This window comes from Homo sapiens, chromosome 14, assembly GCF_000001405.40.
Source record: "Homo sapiens chromosome 14, GRCh38.p14 Primary Assembly".
Classification (NCBI taxonomy): Eukaryota; Metazoa; Chordata; class Mammalia; order Primates; family Hominidae; genus Homo; species Homo sapiens.
Window position 1 is genome coordinate 65,825,736 of NC_000014.9, and position 17,648 is coordinate 65,843,383.

A 17,648-nucleotide genomic window follows, 5' to 3' on the forward strand; every position below is an offset into this window, starting at 1 on the left:
AGCCTGTGACAAATAGGTCAACGTGCACAGTGAGAAGGGGAACTGTGCATTGTTCTCCTGCCTCATTTCTTGAGTTGGCTGTACCTCCTGCCTTGATCCTTCACCTGTCCCTCCACACTCCTCATTGTCTAGAGATGCACACATGATGCCAAGCACACCCGTGCACACGCACGGGCACACATGCACTCTGAAGGCCAAAAGGCAAGAAGTCATTCAGTTGGATGGCTGTAGCTGGGTCTCAGAGGAGACGGTGTGCAGCTGGAAGCGCCATGCTTGCTGGTTTACTTGCTGCTCAGCAATATGGAGTGCTTTGCCAACAGACTCCTACTGCTTCTTCCCCTCTTGAGGAGAAACTGTCAAACAACACGAGGATAAAAATTAAGCTACAAATAAAAATGTTTACAGCTTTCAATAGAAAGTCAATCCTATTTTAACACTCCAAAAGTATTCTCCAAAAAGTTCAATGACACAAATTGCGAGGGTGATTTATTGCCGGGTGAATGAAATGACCAGATGCCCGCAATCTGAATGGGGCTTTTCAGGGATGCTTTCGGGAGGAGTTTCACTGGACCTCTGAGGTAGGAAGTTGGGGGTGAGTATTGTTTCCACTGCCTATACTTTTTCCTTTACCTTCTTCTGGCGACAGACCTCTCCTTCCTCCCTGTTGGGTGCATGTGTGACCCAGAAGAGACCAGTCACAGCTGCTCTTCCCCAGCCACAGGGGTGAGTCCAGGGACAGACACAAAGCAAGGCAGAGTCCTTCCCCGAAACTGTGCTTTCTTCATGAGTCTATAAGGGCGCAAGTCCAGATCTCTGGTAGCGAAGGAAGCAGTCTTTTAAGGATGTGCAGACCAAGGGAAGAGGCAGGAGTGGCTGCCTAAGAAAGAATGCCCCAGTGCCACCGTCCCCAGGGCCAGTTGCACCCATATTCTTTCTTTGCAGCTTAGGATTCTCTCCCCTTTTTGGCATAAGTTAACTTGAATAGAGTTGCTGTTACTTGCAAGTGAAAGAACCTTAAATAATACAGAAATGACTCCAAGATTTAGGTCAGAAGACACATTAGTGAGGCAGCAGTTGCAAGTGACAAAATTCCGTCTTCAATTAGTTTAAGCATAAAAAATAAAGGATTGGCTTGAGGAACAGAAATGTTCAGGAAAGCCTTCAATTTAGGTTTCCCTGATTCAAGCACTCAGACGATATCTTCAGGATCCCACTGAAGGCGTTCTGGAAATGCCAGCCCCAAATATGCCACTGTGGTGTGCTGATGACTTTGAAGTCAGGGGACTTGGGAAACAGTGATGCAGGCAGAGACTTTCTCTGAGCCCCTTTATCTGCCTAAAGACGGATCCTCCGAAAGGAACTCAATTGTCATGAATCCCCTCCTGGGAATCTTCTCAACTGGGGAAGATTAACTCAGCTCACAGGAAAGAAGAATAGAGGTTGGCACCAGCCCAGGCAGATTGTCACCTCTGCTCCTGAGACAATATTTGTTACCGGAGAGACTTTTATCTGCATAACAAGACAGCCTTTATTCGCACAAATTTCCTCCCCTCACGCTCCCATAACTTGTGTCCCCACCACCCCCCAAAGCCCCAAGCCCCTATTCCTTTCTGTAGCTCAGGATGCTGCATAAGCTTCAATCACTTGGCCCGTCTTCAAGGTTTATTCTGCAGGACTGCCATGCATATGTATATAATTAAACGTGGCTTTTCTCCTGTTACGCTGTCTTATGTCAATTTAATTCATAGCCTAGCCGATGAACCTAGAAGAGTAGAAAGAAACCACTTTTCGCTCCCCTGCACCACTTTTTCTCCAACCCTCTGCTCCGTCTGTCTTCCCCAGTGTTAGTTTTCTTCCCAGGGTGGCTCTCTGGCTTTCTCTGCACATGGTAAATATCTGCCACGTTGCACCCCGCCCCACCTGAGGAACTTCGCGCTTGCAAGGTTCTTAGTTCCCACAAAGCAGAAGGAAAATTCCCCTCCCTCCCCTGACACCCACATCACCCCCAAAGTGAACCAATCACTGAGTCCAGAGGTGTGGGTGCTCCACTTGGTCAGACATGCTCTGGGCCTGACCTGGAGGTGGAGCTACTTTCTCACTGCACAAGCAGGATTTTTGCCATAGAAATGGGAAAAGGATGACCCCCACTGACCCCCACCTCTTTGGGAGAAGATAAAACTTGTGGTAAAGGGAAGATTGAACATAGAATACAAGGAACAGGCAAAGCAGATCAGAAACTATGAAGCAGCAACAGAGGCGGCCGGAAGATAACATGTCAGGCATGCAACCCACTGGCTGCTGAGACACCGGACATCCACAGAGCGTCTGCTGTGCGCGCAGGGCAGCACCAAAACACTGCACGTTTTGGTTGCTGAGCCATCTCCTGAAAGGGAATCAGTGCAGGCAGCTGGCAAAGCAGTTCAAGGTGGTCAAGGGGCGGATGGCAAAGAGGAGGACAAGGTGAACAGCACCAACCAGCCATCCTACATCTGCTCAGCTGGGGTGGCGGCATCCTCCTGGGCACATAGGATGTGAAATCTGCTGGTGGCGTTTTGTTTTTCTCTCCCTTTTGTTTGTTTAATTGACAAGAGTATGTTTCTCTTTCTCTTGGCTTGACTATCGTGAGAAAGGAGGGCGGGCTCAATTAGCTGTAGATGCCTTTCCTGGAGGCCTAGGAGCTGTTTAAAAAGGCACAGGTGTGTGGTGGCTACACGGTATCACCTGGGATTTACTCCCATAAATGGGTCAGGTGTAAAAGAACGGCCGTTAATTAATGCTGATGAGCTGAAGATGCATTGCTTACCCTGACTGCTCAGCATGGAATGTGTGAGTTAATTCCAGGAAATCTAATTACTGAAGTTTCTAGTTTGCCTCTCCCTTCCCTGCGATGCTAGCATTTGAAGCATTGAAAGCATCTTTAGGGAGCCTGGGTGTTACTTTAGACTCATCTCTCCTCCCTGCAGTGTGTGGCCTTGGAGAAATGGGTTGGCAAGAAATCCCAGCCTGAGAATTGAATTAAAGGGAAAGGAGATGCCTGGCTTCAGAGGAGAGCTATGATTTTGGGGGTAAAGGAGATAATCTCTTTTTCATAGGAAGGACTTTGCCCTTGGTGGGACCCAAAAGCAGAAAGAGATTCAGAGGTTGGTCTGGTTAGCTGTGGAAGTCATTGGCAGGGCAATAAATCCATCCCAGCTGAGAAAACTGTTTACGTACAGAACCAAACCAAGCAAGTCGGGCCTTAATAGGCTAAAGCTGGTTGGCTGCTTCCAATCCTGAATTTGGTTCTATCCTCCAAATATTGATTTAAAGCACTTTTGATTTCACAAACTCCTTTCAAACCTGGATCAGGAGATGGTATAACCTTGGCTGTAAGCAGGTGGAAAGGCAGATGGAATGAGGAGGGCACAAGGAGTCAGTGAGGGTTTAGCTCCATTCTCCAGGTACTATATTCTTGCAAGGGGGCTGCCATGTACATAAAGTGGCCCTGGGACTTTAGAGCACTGCCTTTAAACTGGCATCAGCTGGAGATGCTAGAGGAGTAGAAGACAGGTTCTTACCCTTCTGGAGGAAACAAGCAACAAATAACAAACCACGGCAAGAATATCTAGAAATGTTCCTATTAACTGGGATAAGAGCAACTATCAGTTAATGCAGCCTAGGTAGCCCAGCAAGGGACTTGGGCAGTTGGACATGCAGATGCAACAAAGAAAAGATGGAGTTGGGCTAGTCCTCTGGAGGGGACAGGGTGGGGGCTCGATTTTGGTTCTAAAGATGGAAAGAAAAATTGGCTAAGAAATCACTCAGTACCCACTGAGAGCCCACTCTGAGCAAGACGTGGCACGAAGGATTGGAGTTCAAGCCAGAATGTATCTCCTGATTCTGCTGAAACAGGCCCTCTCCAGCCACCTTCACCCAGACCCAGCTGAGGACCACCCAGGAGGACAGGAATGGGGAGGGAAGGCAGCAGGGTCACTAAGGCAGAGTCAAATTTTCACCTGCTGCATGGTTCCCGTAGTGGCCAAGAGAAAGCTTCCCCTTCATCCTCTGAAACTTCACTGAAAAATCAACTCACAAAAGGCAGATCAATGGGAGAAATGGCATATAAATTTATTAACATGCATTGGGGGGGATCACAAAGGGATTATCTTATGTCTGCCTCACAAAGGGGTACGGATGGTTGTATACCCTTTTTCTTAGGAGAAAGGGAGATGGGGGAGTGTGGATGATTTTAGAGGGGCAGTAAATGATTTTTAGGGGAATTCAATGGGCTTGAAGAACATACAGTGACCTGGGACAAAGTCTGTTGGGCCCACAGAGCAGACCATGGTTTGTGTCAAGTCTGTCCAAGTCTGTTAGACTTCAGTCTTTCTTCCTGTGATATGAGTTCAGTTAATGAAGACTCCGGGAAGGGATTGGAAGTAACTCTTTTCTTCTTTGGTGGCTCTGGACATTAGGCAGATGATATGGTTTGGCTCTGTGTCCCCACCCAAATCTCATCTTGAATTGTACGCCCATAATTCTCAGGTGTTGTTGGAGGGACCTGATGGGAGATAGTTGAATCATGGGGGCAGTTTCCCCCATACTGTTCTCTTGGTAGTGAATAAGTCTCATGAGATCTGATGGGTTTATCAGGTGTTTCTGCTTTTGCATCTTCCTCATTTTTCTCTTGCTGCTGCCGTGTAAGAAGTGCCTTTCACCTCCTGCCATGATTCTGAGGCCTCCCCAGCCATGTGGAACTGTAAGTCCAATTAAACCTCTTTTTCTTTCCAGTCTCGGGTATGTCTTTATCAGCATCATGAAAATGGACTAATATAGCAGGCGAGGGAACTTCAGAGAGCAGCTTCCTCCTGTGCTTTGGGAGAGAGAGAGGATTGAGAGACAGGAGGGAGGCGAAGGCCAGAGAGACCTAGAGGCCGTTTCTTCAGTTCAGCATGTCAAGGTGCCAGATTTTGGGGTATTGGTTTCTGACCCCTAACAGTATCGATTCTAAATAATAATTAGAAGCTAGGAGGAGGTCCTCTGTCATTGTGCAATGGGATGTGTTGGCTGTACTCAGGTCTGGGATTCAGACTCCATGGATGGGTGACGATAAATATCTTATCTCCCCTAATTTCTCTACCACATTCAGAAACAACGGCTGTCACACTATTTAATTTGTTCTAAAGAAAAATCAAATATGTCTCTGAGCTCCCAGGCACCAGTGATAAGAAGTCAAGATTGGTTATGGGTTAGCCCCACCTCTCCCTGAGGATCTTGCAGAAATCCCAGGGAACCCAGGTGGAGCGTGATGTTCTGGGGCAGAGCCCCTGGTCGCCACCCCCTTAGGGTCAATACTGAAGAGATGATGGGAGGAAGGGCGTGCCCACTGCTTCTGGGCTGAGTAGGATCTTGGCAGAGGCTCCCAAACTTCCAAGTCTGGTGTCCATCTCCTGGCCACCTACACGTGAATGGTGGCATGTGCCATGGTAGGTTTAGCAGGTGATCCAAAATGTAGATCCCCATCCACATTGACAGATTGGAGTGGCCCTGCCCTCAGTGACCCAGGCTGATGGTTTCAGGTGTTGAGTAGAAGGAGCTATGCGTGACGGGGGTGCATCCTGAGCCCTTGGTGGAGCCTTCTGCAGCCTGGACTGCAACGGCAGAGGCTAAACCGGGGAAGGCTGGGCTAGGCGGCTGGTGAGCCATGCTTCTGAGCAAACCATGGCCCTGAACACTGCTCCTGTCTCCAAAGACCCTGGCTGCTTTTCTGTCTCGGCAGGGGTGGTGCCTAAGTAAGTGAATCCCTCAGGAGGGGCTGGTAGGGCAGGGCTGGGGCATGTACCCTCAAGGGACCCGCCTGGGGTCTTGGCCCTTCATCAGGCTGCCGTAGGGCAAGGGACCCTCAGAAACCAGGCAAAGCCTGGAGACCCTGCAAGGAAACTGGGTGGGGGTTGGAGCTGCTGAGCTCTGGGGCAGTCATGTAAATATCGTTGTTTATTTGCAATGGTTGTTGTTAAATGCCAGATAGGTCTGGTGCATCTCATTCTCAGTGGCATTGAGATACCAACGGTTCCTCACCACTCTGGGTAAGGCATGGAATGGTAACATGTTCTAATAGATAATGAAGATTGTGTCTCTGGAGGATTTCCTCCTAAATTATAGGCTGTCATCTGAATTATGTGGTACATTTGGTATTGGGTTTAGCAGGTGATCCACATTATGCATTAATGTAGCCATAGAGAAAAAAATAGATTCAAATAAGAAATATGGGGCTGGGCATGGTGGCTTATGCCTGTAATCCCAGCACTTTGGGAGGCCAAGGTGGGTGGATCACTTGAAGTCAGGAGTTCGAGACCAGCCTGTCCAACATGGTGAAACCCCATCTCTACTAAAAATACAAAAAATTAGCGAGGCGTGGTGGTGGGTGCCTGAAATCCCAGCTACTCAGGAGGCTGAGGCAGGAGAACCCAGGAGGCAGAGGTTGCAGTGCGCCGAGATTGCGCCACTGTACTCCAGCCTGGGCGACAGAGCGTGACTCTGTCTCAAAACAAACAAACAAACACAAATGACAACAACAAAAAAAAGAAATATGGAAGAAAGGCTTCCCAGCATGAAACTCGATTACTACCTGCTCATCGGTGGCTTCTTTCTATCAGGTTGTTAAGCAGGTGGCAATAATTTATTTTAAAAATAATTAAATCTTCTCTCAGAACATGTGCCGTATTTGTTATTGCTGTTGTCACCCCCATTATTGCAGCTGTTAATTACTTCAGAAAGCAGAGGTGTAAGTAACTATTTAGGTCATTTCTAATCTCTCTCTGGAGGACAATTGCTTCTTCTAGCATGTTCTCCCAGGCTTTGGTAGGCCTGGTTTTAAAAGTATCCTGAAATGAAGTCCTGGCCCTTCCCCGGGGAAAGCCTGTTCCATGGTTACATCTGATCACGAGGATGAGCTTCCTCTTGTTACTCTTTCTCAACTTTCTTTTCTAAATGTCATCCTAGCTATCATTAATCACAGTGAATAAAAGTTATAATTAATAGAGGCCCAAATCGTTCAAGTGGAAGATTACTCTTTTGAATTACTGTGTTTTTCTTGGAAGATGTCCTCGAGTTAATTATTTAGTATTTAGGGTTTTGTTTTTTTTTTTTTAACCACAGTTTCGCTTTTAAGAAGAACAAATTGATCACAGTAACTTGGGGGTGAGGGGATTATGTATAATGTATGCAGGAGACCCGTGTTAAAAATAAACAATAAACACAAGGCTGGGGGCTTTGCTGCTCCCCCTGCTGGCTTTTTAGAAAGGAAAAAGATAAGCAGCCTAGACTCAGAGCTGTGTAGATCCTAAGGAAGCTGCAGGAAGCTGGTGAAACATGCAACCAAGAGATTCCCGCTGTCGGATTCCATTAGATGTTGAGCTGGGCTCTGGGTGAAGGATCACAGTGGGTGAGCAGAAGAGCTCGCTTCCAAGCATACAGGAGGGTGTGGTGGCTGCAGGGCCCCTGAGGCCTGCCACTCAGCACACTAAGAAATTGTATCTTTTAGATGGAGCCATCTTGTGTCCCCAGGATTAAAAACCTTCATCCACACTGGGAACAAGGAACATTTCAAGTTCTAACCCAAAATACAGAGGCAACTGTTCAAAAGTCAGCGGTGAAAGAGTGCAAACTAAAAACCATACGCTGTGAGTCTCTGGTTCTGTGGTTGAGGGGAGAGGCAGAGGGTACAGAAGTGTCCTGAGCCCCTCCCTGTCCCTGACCTGCTGGCTTGGCAACTCAAGACAGCATCCCTCCTGGGGCTAGTGTTAGGATTATGTTCCCAGTTACAATTCATATTTATATCCTACGTTCCCTTGTTGGCTCATTGGTGCCACTTGTTTTTAAAAAGGACATCTCTGTGTATTCTCAAGCTCAGCAACTTCTGGGCTACAAAGCCCCAGGGAGGAGTCCTGTTATGCTGCTGGGCTCTGTGTTGTTTGCGGGATCTTGCTGGCATTGGGTTACAACGTCTGGACCTCATTCTCGCTGACCTCAATTCGCGCTGCTGGCCTTGGGAAAGCCCTGAATCAAAGGTTTGTCAATTGCAATGGAAATCTGTGATAGAAACAGAGCGGCTCGGGCATCTCCACTGAAGTCCTGTACTATGCAGGGGTGGGGACAGAACGGCAGCACTTAACTCCAGGTCTAAGGGGCTAAAATTCATTCGTTCATTCACTCATTCACCCACTCACTTAAAAGGCATTAATATAATTACAAATTAGTTCCTGTAATGCAATATACTGCAAAGTGAGTCCCTGTGCCTTTTCATCTTTCCACGTTGTGAAAAATTGTTGGCCATAAATGGCCTCGATGATTCCTCCCTATATACACTTTTTAAAAATGTGGCTTTGCAGTTTTCTCCGTGGAAGAGAAGAAATCTGTTTCTCCTGCCTTTGAATCCAGGCTGGTCTTGTTACCTTTTTGGATCCAGCAGGCATGGCAGGAAGGATGGTTTGGAGCCAGGGCCTCAGGAGGCCTGGCCCACTTCTGCTCCACTCTTTCGGAATCCTGCCACCTTGAGAGCAGGCCCAGCACAGTGCTATTCTCAGCTGGAAGAATAGAGAATGGAGGACAGTCCAACTGTCCCAGCTTGAGGACATCATAGATCCTCTTACAGCCTGCCGGCCCCCGACCTGTGTGAGACCAGCCCAGGTAAGAAACGCTGCTGACTGCAACCTTCAGCTGACTGCAGACACACGTAGGCTTGTGAACAATAATCAGTGTTTACTGTTTCAAATCACTGTTTCAGGATGGTTTGTTACACAGCAATAGCTAAGATACACACACACAGAGAAGGAGCATGCATCAGTGGAATTTCCACTTTGGTGGGAACATAGAACCAAGTGCTAAATTTCCCATCAAGCATGCCAAGTGCATTCTTAGCAATGGGCACACAGAATCCGTCCACTGACCCTGGAGGAGTCTGTTGTTACTAGGGATTCCAAGATTCCTTGTCCATCTGCAGGGCCATGGAAGCTAAAGGAGACTGTGGCATCATCGCTGGAAAGCCAACTTACTTCGGATAGCTAAAATGGGCTGGTTCCAACTGCAGCCAGGCTTTTAGAAACTGGGGAGGGGGAGAGTTGCCATGACAACCAGCATACCCTCACTGTGCTACCTAACGCTCACAGTGGTGGGGCTCAATGACTGTTGTCCACAGCAGGCCCAGGGTGAGGGTGAGGCACGGCAGAGGGCTGGGCATATCAGGCAAGACAGGCCTGGTTTTGCCTACAGTGATGCCCCATACTGACTGGCTAGGTGAATACCCACCATTATTAAGGTAATGCAAAGACTCTAAGAAGAGGATAACTCATTTTCAGGTGTGCAAAGTAAGGAGAGCCCACTTGTGGCGGTGGTGAAGAGAGCCGGCCGTGTGGAGGAGGGAGCGCTGGTCTGGCTTTGAGGATGCAGGAGGTCCCATTGCTGGTCCCTCACTCCCTCATCTTCACCACCTCCTGGAGAGGCCTGTGGGCTGTGCAGCCTCTGATGAGCATGTGAGAGAGACTGTTGTTGCTGGTCTCATTATCTGTCCTTTTAGGCAAAGGAATTCCTATATGTTTCAGAACAGAGAGCTCACTGTGTGCCTGTAAATGCCAAGAAACCAAGACACCATCCGTTAGGGAGCCTGCTCTGTGTGCTGAAGCAGGAGGTGGGGCACGTGGGCCATCTCCAAAGGCTCATAGTGCTGGTATGGGACACCCCAAAGCTAGGCTTGGACTCCAGTCTGTAGAGGCAGGGTTTCCTCTCAGTGGTGCTTGGCCTCCTGCGTCAGGTTCCCCTGGGGGACTTGTTAGACATGTAGACTCCTGAGTCTGCAAACCTACCACCTCAGAACCAGGGGGACTGGGTCTGGGAATCTACGGGTTTAGTAATCTGCCCTGGATGCTTCTAGCACACTAACTTGGAGAACCACCACCCTGAAGGAAATTACCCCAGCCCAGCAGGACCAGCAAGAGGCCTCCTGTGCAGGCTCCAAGGCCCTGTGGGCAAGTACAGTGCTCCCTCAGGCCTTACAACCACCCTGTTCTGCACACGTTTCCTCTTCTCTCCTAGTGGCTTCCAAACATACCTGCATACCAGAATTGCCCGGAAATATTTTTCTTAAATGTGTATTTTAAGGCCCCCTCCCAGGTTAACTAAATCAAAATCTCAGGACAGGTGCCAGAAATCAACAAGTAATTTTAGAAAAAAATATAAAAAACACTCTCTAGTAGTCTTTGATGCCCAATCAGATGAGGGGACCACTGGGCTCTGCCAATCAGGGTCATACGCAGAGGACACCAATAGGTGATTCATTCTTAACTCAGTGCTCAAGGATCCAAATCCACCACCAGCCTTGGAGTGTGTTTACCCAGGATATGTGTTTTTTCCTTTTATTTTGGGGGCGATCTGAGTCAACCAATTTTTGAGTCTTCGAAACCCAGAGGGAGAACAATGAATGTGAACTTGTAGGAGGCAAACTAAAACAACATGCCATCTGCAAAAAAATCAGCATAAATTCCCCAAATGGCATCGTGCTGCCAAGACAACTCTCCAAGGCTCCGCTGTCTGCCTCAGTAGAGTACAAGCCCTGGAGAGGTTCAGTTATCCTCCACACATGTGCTCCTAGGGAGCCAGGCAAGAGAAGAGACTGGAATGTTTAACAATAAAGTTCCCAGGGTTTAGAATACAGTGAGGGGCAGGTAAGCCAGAACTCGCTCGCAGTTCTGTTACAGCTTTGATTGCTGATAATTGGTCAATGGTTTGGTTGTGATACTTGCATTATTAACCTAGTTGAAAAAAAAACTGATAGATGGTGCCTTTCTTAGGGACACATATCACAATTGAGTATCCATTCATTCATTTGACAAATATTTATCTACCATGTGTGAAACACTGGACAAACCACACAGCATCTGCTTTTAAGTTGCTTAAGGAAAGGGAGGGGTGACATCAGCGAGGGGCCACCAGTTAAGGAGTTAAGGGAATATTGTTCAGCTCAGGAAACATAAGGTCAATTTTAGGGAGCAGATTAGATTTGAGAAATTGGTTGTGTAGTTTAAGGTGAGAGCAAGTACATTTGGTGGAGGAGGAAAGACGGCACAAACCACACACAGCCGCAGCAGGTGTGGGATAGGTTTGGAGAGCAGTGCTGCATTCTGTTATTTTAGCACAGAAGATTGGAGAGCTCTCAGGGTGAAAAAGGGAGAATGGGGGATTGAGGGATGGCAGGCCGAGAGGTGGGGTGGCCTGTAGGCAGCATGGGTGTCCCGTGCTCCTGGACATGGCCAGTGATCCCGGCCATCTTTTCCACTCACTCCGCAGAGAGCCTTGGGGTCCTTTTCCACACTGCGCACTCCACAGCCACCAATAATGCTTTGGAGTTAGCTCGTGAGGAAAACTGCTCCAAACCCTTTCTCCACATGAAGGCTAAAGAATTAGCATTTTATTCTGGAGACAATGACGGGAGAAAACAGTCTTCTTTTTCCCACTTGAAGAGGTGATATAATCAAACAAGATCTTCTGGATGGTTAATCTGCCAACAGAATCTGGAAAGAACTGGGATGGAGCAGGGCATAGGTGAGCCTGGGAGGCCAGTGACGAGAGGATTGCAGCTGTTTAGCGGGAAAAGAGGAAGCACTCGCTTAGGGAGGCAGCAGTGACGGAGCAGGAAGGAGAGGACAGAAGCAAGGGCCCCTTGGAGGGGAGAACTGGAGGGGCTGGGAAGCTCCTGGAATATTGGTGGCTGGGAGGTGGGAGAGATCAGACGGCTTGAATTTCATAGCTGAGATATGATGGTGCTCCAGCAGAGGAAGGGGCCTCAGGAGAAGCAGGCTTTAGAGGGGTACTGGATGAATTTAGTTCTGGAATACTGAGCTGGAGAAGCCAGCACTATGCTGGGGGATGGTCAGGAGAAGTTGGGAAGAGTGGGACCAAGATCAGCAAAGAAGAAGAGCTAGAAATATCCCTCTGGGAGTCATGGACCTACAGGTGATGGTAGGAAGCATCTGATTAGACAAATCATCCAGGGAAGGTCTGTAGAGGAAGCAGAGGAGGAGAGCACAGGAAGGAAGACAGAAGACAAGGGCAGCCTGTATGTTGAACCTGTCACAGGACAAATGGTTTTTGTCTTTATCCTCCTAAGTCTAGTTGTTCCCTGCCTGTTTGAAAATATCTACTTTCACGCATTAAAAGACTCTGGTGAATGTAGGACCCTCTCCCCAACCCAATTAACCAAGTTCAGGGAAAGACCTAAAACCCAGGTACCAGTTAACAAACATCCATGGTTTATCTCTGTGGACACTGGCTTTTTGTTGGTATGCGGACGCAGACATGTAAACATGGCCTATGCAGATGTGCTCAAGAAACCCCCTCCTGCATGCTGGAGCCCCACGTGTTGTTTTCCTTAAAATGCCCCTTAACTGCCCCTGCAGCCTAGATGACAGAGCAAGGGAGGGAAAGCTCTGTTATCAGTGATCTGTTTTTTGTATTCCTGATCTGTTGCCATTTATAAGTGATTGAAGTTCTCTAGGGCCAGCCCAGTCCCTGCCAGGCAACCAGGTGGTGTTATGGTGTCAGAGGAAAGTTTCTGGTACAGAACCTTGGTGCAAAGGGCTTATCTACTGCTTGCTAGAGCATCTTCCATGTCTTGAAGACTGAAATGGGCCACACAGCCAGGCTTGATCCTGAAACATGAGGGCTCCCACAGCCACAGATGCAGAGTGCTTTGGGCCTCAGGGACCAATCATTCCCACCCAGTGTTTAACCCGGTTAGCATCCTATGCATCCCCAAGCAGGCTGCTGAAACAGATAGCAGGAGCAACTTTCTGCAGAGATGTGTGCTGAAAGCAACATCCTAATAAACACTATAACACTATACACATTCACGAACAAAGGTGGACTCCTATACTAATTGCCCGAATTTCCTTTAAAACTCACCTTGGCCATCTTTGCAGAATTTTTCAGCATCCAGATTCCTCACTGGCCACATTCCCAGCAACAATTCTGGTCCCTCTGGCTCCAGAAGGAAGTGGTCATCTGCCACTTCCTCCCCACTGTCCGTCCTCTAAGTCTCAGTCCTCTGGCTCCTCCTCCTTGCTCTGCTCTTTGCAGGATCTGCCTTGGCCTTTCTCACATTCATCGCCTCCTTGGCTGCCGGCTCCCTCTGGCCAGGCAGGGCTTCTCCTCTGCCTGCAGTGGCTTTGGGGTGGCTGCTGCATGGCTGGGGCCCCCTGCTTCTTGGCAGGTGACATTCCTGCCCTCTTGGGGAGGTCATGATGGCTTTCTTACCAGAGATGTCAACCACGCTTACTTTAGCTGGTGAAGGCACTGCCTTCATCCTTGAATTAGGCACAGGCTTTGACCTTCTGAGGGACTACAACATCTTCACTCCTTCCCAGCATTGACCTAGGAAGGTAATAATGACAAAGATTTTCATAGCCATAGTATAGTAAGAACCAACATAGATTGTACTCACCATGTGCCAGGCCCTATTCTAATATCCTCACAGGGTGGACTCTTTAAATCCTTACAATAACCCTACAAGTTTTAATAGGCATTATTATTATCATCCCCATTTTATAGATGGGGAAACTGAAGCATGGAGAGATTAAATAACTTTCTCAAGGTCCATGTAAAGCCCTGAATACCAAGACTGAAATGTGTGAAGCTCTAGACAGATGTGGCTGCTGTTATTTCTATTATTAGTTCATGTCTGCCTCTGCTTGGCTGTGATCTTGGGAAACATGCCTTGTCTTTCTCAACCTCAGTTTCCTCCTCTGTAAAGTACAGATCATCTATTCTAATTGTACCCTCCATGCTCTTAGCTCATCTTGTTCCTGCTTTTCTGCAGAAGGAATCCTGTTTTCTTAGAAATTCTCTTTCTCTGTTTTTTTTTCCTGAGTTTTGCAAATAAATAATTGCTTGACTGTTTTGGAAGCTTCCAGAAAGTAACAGGAAATAATGCTCTGGGGCCTTTTGTCAGCTCCCCTTTCTCTGAGAGGGCTGTGGAGTCACAGCTGCCCCAGCTCTCTCTAGGAGCCTTCATTAAACCAGCGTTTTGATGCTAAATCAATGTTTTCCAACCAAAATTCCCTCTGGGAGAGGAGAGGAAGAGATGGGAGAGCCTGGGTCAGTCCTCAATCACACTTCTTCTCCCATTACATCTTGGATCTCCAACGCATTGGTTCCCCGCACCCTGGGATTTGCCAGAACAGAGGTTAGCATCAAGGACTCCCCCTTGACCATCAGAGGATTTCCTTTTCTTGGAATAACCACAGTGACAGAGGGTGCATTGGTTTGCTTTCCTGATCTGTTGCCATTTATAAGCAATTGAAGTTCTAAGCTTCCAGTCCCCCATTGAGACAGGCAAGCCCATGGGCTGGTCATGTGGGTTTAATACCACTGTGCTAGCAGGATGTCCTTTGATCCTGTCCTGTAAAGTCTAGGCAAATGACATCCTGGGGGCTCCGGAGGTCCCAGGCCAGGGTGCTGAAGGACAGAGTGTTGAAAAGAGAGGGCTGTCTTTGAGTACTGCAAAGCGCAATGCAGTGTCCTTGCCAAAGCAACGTGGTGGAAGCCTGCCTGGTATTAATAGCAACAGCAAACATTTATGGAGTGTTTACAATGTGCCAGCTGCCATGCTAAGCACCATTTAATCCTCACAATGACCCTCATAAATAGGTATTATTATTATACCCCCACCAAGCTTTGTAGATGGGGACCCTGAGACTGAGAGAGGCTGAGCTACTTGCTGGATCACACAGCTATCGCCAGACTCCCAGCACCAAAGCTCACACCCTTACCCCCTGCAGTCTGCTGCCTCCCTCCCCAGTCCTTGGTGCTAAGGGCCTCCCAGTGCAGATAAGGCTTGCAGAAGACAGCGGCTGAAGGGCTGCCTTGGCCCTGTTCTCGAGTTTGCTCCTCAGGGCTGGGTCTTGGTGCTGGGAATTCAGAAGCTCTGTTACCAGAGTATCTATGGGGGATTGATCCCAGGGAAAGAATGCCTATTGATCTCACAAGAGGATTCAAGACCTCCACAAGCAGATGTTAGTATACAGGGGGACCCGTTCCAGCCACCTGCATGGTAATCCTCCTGGCAGGTGGTCTGCCCAGGAGACCACACAACATGGCAGATAGGGAAGTTGCTCAAAGGACATTTCCACTGGCAAACAACTCTTCTCTAGAGATCTCTCTGCCTGGTTTATGGATACCAGTCTTTGGAATTCAGAGTACTTTCTGTTTTGATGTTTGCTGGAGATGGTCCAGTGCATTCTTACTCACCAAGTTTTATTTTCCAGTATTCTTCCTTAGGCCTTAAACCTTCTGTTGTTACAACACTGCTTTGTGAAAACCATGGTGGAATTTCTGAGATTAGTTTTATTTCACACCAATACATTACAAATTCTGCCTTCCAAAGAAGAAACAGAAAGGGAATTGGATTAGGAGGCAGGAAAACCCAATGCCAGGCTCAGTTCAGCCCCAGTGAGCCTTATGGTTTTGGGCAAGTCAGCCCAATGAATGGGTTGGACTAGGGGTTGGTCCAGCCATTTCCCTTCCTGCCCAGATGCCCTGGCCTCGAAGAAGCTCAGCATGGACTCCCGTCTGGGGCTGAGATGAAGTGAGGCACGTGGCTGGGGAATGAGGGTAGCAGGGCTAATGGTGGGGGTGGGGCAATTGAACAGTTCCTGACAACCAATGAGTACACGTCCAGGCTTCTTCTGAGTGAAGAGCTTTTCATGGCTGAGGGCCCACCACTGAGTCCCGTTTGGAAGAAACCCACGGGGCCGATGGCGGAGGGTCCCGCTCTGAAGCACGCGGGAAATAAGGAGGAAGAGCCAAGATGAACAGCGTGGATGCTTTTCTGGTCACCTTCATTTCACTTCTAAGCCTCAAAGTTGGTCAAGGCAATTTATTTTTAACTTCCTTGTCATGGCAGGTGGATTATAAACTACCTTCTAGAAAAGTGATTGCCAACCTAAAAATCTGAGGTTTCAGGTCCCATCAGATATTCGAACTCTTTTCAGTATTTCAGAAAATCTCTTGGAAATTGTACATTTACACAGATAATGTATTTACTAACAAAAATGCCAAGTTTCTCTGCTCTTTGGTTAAAATGATACTATTAATTTGGTGTGATAACTCACACCTATAATCCCAGCACTTTGAGAGGCTGAGGTGGGTGGGTCACTTGAGCCCAGGAATTCGAGACCAGCCTAGGCAACACAGTGGGACCCCATCTCTACAAAAATAAACTTTTAAAGAAAGGATTATCCTATTAGTTCAGTGCGGTGACACTGGTGATCTCATGCTAATCTGAAGAGCTGATTGGCAGCCATTTATATTTTGAATAAGTAATAAGTAGGGAAAAGGTAATGACATACACTTATTTTTCTATCATTTACACTCTGTCCTACAAAGTAGATTGGAGTGCCTGGATTACTGCTTGAATTTTTAATTGTAGAACATTTTTCTTAACATTGGGGCCTTGGAGGAAAAACCTAAGGAAAGGAGTATGAGGAAATGAGGGGTTGGAGGGCTCTTTTGTGGTTCATTATCTCTCATCTAAAAGGTAAGTGGGGTCAGCAGAAGACATCTAGAGGCCATTTCATAAGGGGGAGATGTAGGCTTAGCTTCACAGATACCCTGCCAACTTGGGGGCACAGATAACTTCTCTCTACCCTCTAATAAAGCCACTACATGCTTTGTGTTTATCTGGGTTCTTTAACGGTGTCATTATATAAATTTGCAAGAACTGACTCAACTCCCAACCCCTCTCTGAAACTATACCCCATAGACCAGTCATCACTTGATTTTCTGAACGGCTGTGGCCATTTTTTCTCTACCATGTTTAGCAGGTAATTAGGCATTGCCTGGGTGTCCTCGCTAAATGTCCCTAGGTTGTACATCTCTCCTGAGACCTCATCATCGGGGTCTCTCAAATCTTTAGTAGCAGAAGATCTGAAACAGTGCCATAAATACCTTAGCATGATATAACCTTTACTATTTCAAAAATGCTGTAGTGGTCATCGCCACGCACAATCCCTACATCCATCAGGTGAGTTAAAAAGGAGGATGTTAATATCCTCATTCTACAAATGAAGAAATGGAGGCTCAGTGTGGTTAAGGGATCTATAGGCAAGTGGTGGGGCTGGAATATCAACCACTGATGTCTCATTTTCTTTCCACTGTGCTGCCTTTCTAGGTATTCAATTCCAGGTGCAGTGGCTTTTAAACTTTATCACCTTACTTTGGTAGGACTGCAACAAATATATTTCTCAGAGGATTCTAGTGGGTTCTGGTTGTTTCCATTGAATGGTATGGGGCCAGCCCAGGTAGCATTGAAAGTCATGCTGTGGATTTCTTTGTTTAGCAGACTTTATTTTTCCACCTGATACCTGGTCCAGCCAAGGACTGGAGAGCCTCTGACCCTACATTTCTGTTCTGCCAAGGGGACTGAAAACATAAAAGTCATGCTGGATGAATAGGGCTGCCCAGTAGGCAATGAGAAGCGAGGGCTTTTGAACAGGCAGCAATCTCCTTTTGCCTCACAGACCCCGGCTGCTTGTTGTTTGGCTGCTTTGTTTGTCTCTGTGTCACTTTCTCATCTTTTTGTAACCCTGCTGCATCCCTGAGCTCTGATGCTGGTTTCACCA

General features: G+C 47.6%; 2 annotated features.

Annotated features, from left to right (window-relative positions):
- Positions 5,211–5,729: an enhancer, noted in NCBI's record as "H3K27ac-H3K4me1 hESC enhancer chr14:66297664-66298182 (GRCh37/hg19 assembly coordinates)". NCBI's record gives its function as "activates a minimal SCP1, AML or CMV promoter by ChIP-STARR-seq in naive H9 embryonic stem cells {active_cell/tissue: H9 hESC(naive)}" and the evidence as "EXISTENCE:reporter gene assay evidence [ECO:0000049][PMID:30033119]".
- Positions 12,700–13,201: an enhancer, noted in NCBI's record as "H3K4me1 hESC enhancer chr14:66305153-66305654 (GRCh37/hg19 assembly coordinates)". NCBI's record gives its function as "activates a minimal SCP1, AML or CMV promoter by ChIP-STARR-seq in naive H9 embryonic stem cells {active_cell/tissue: H9 hESC(naive)}" and the evidence as "EXISTENCE:reporter gene assay evidence [ECO:0000049][PMID:30033119]".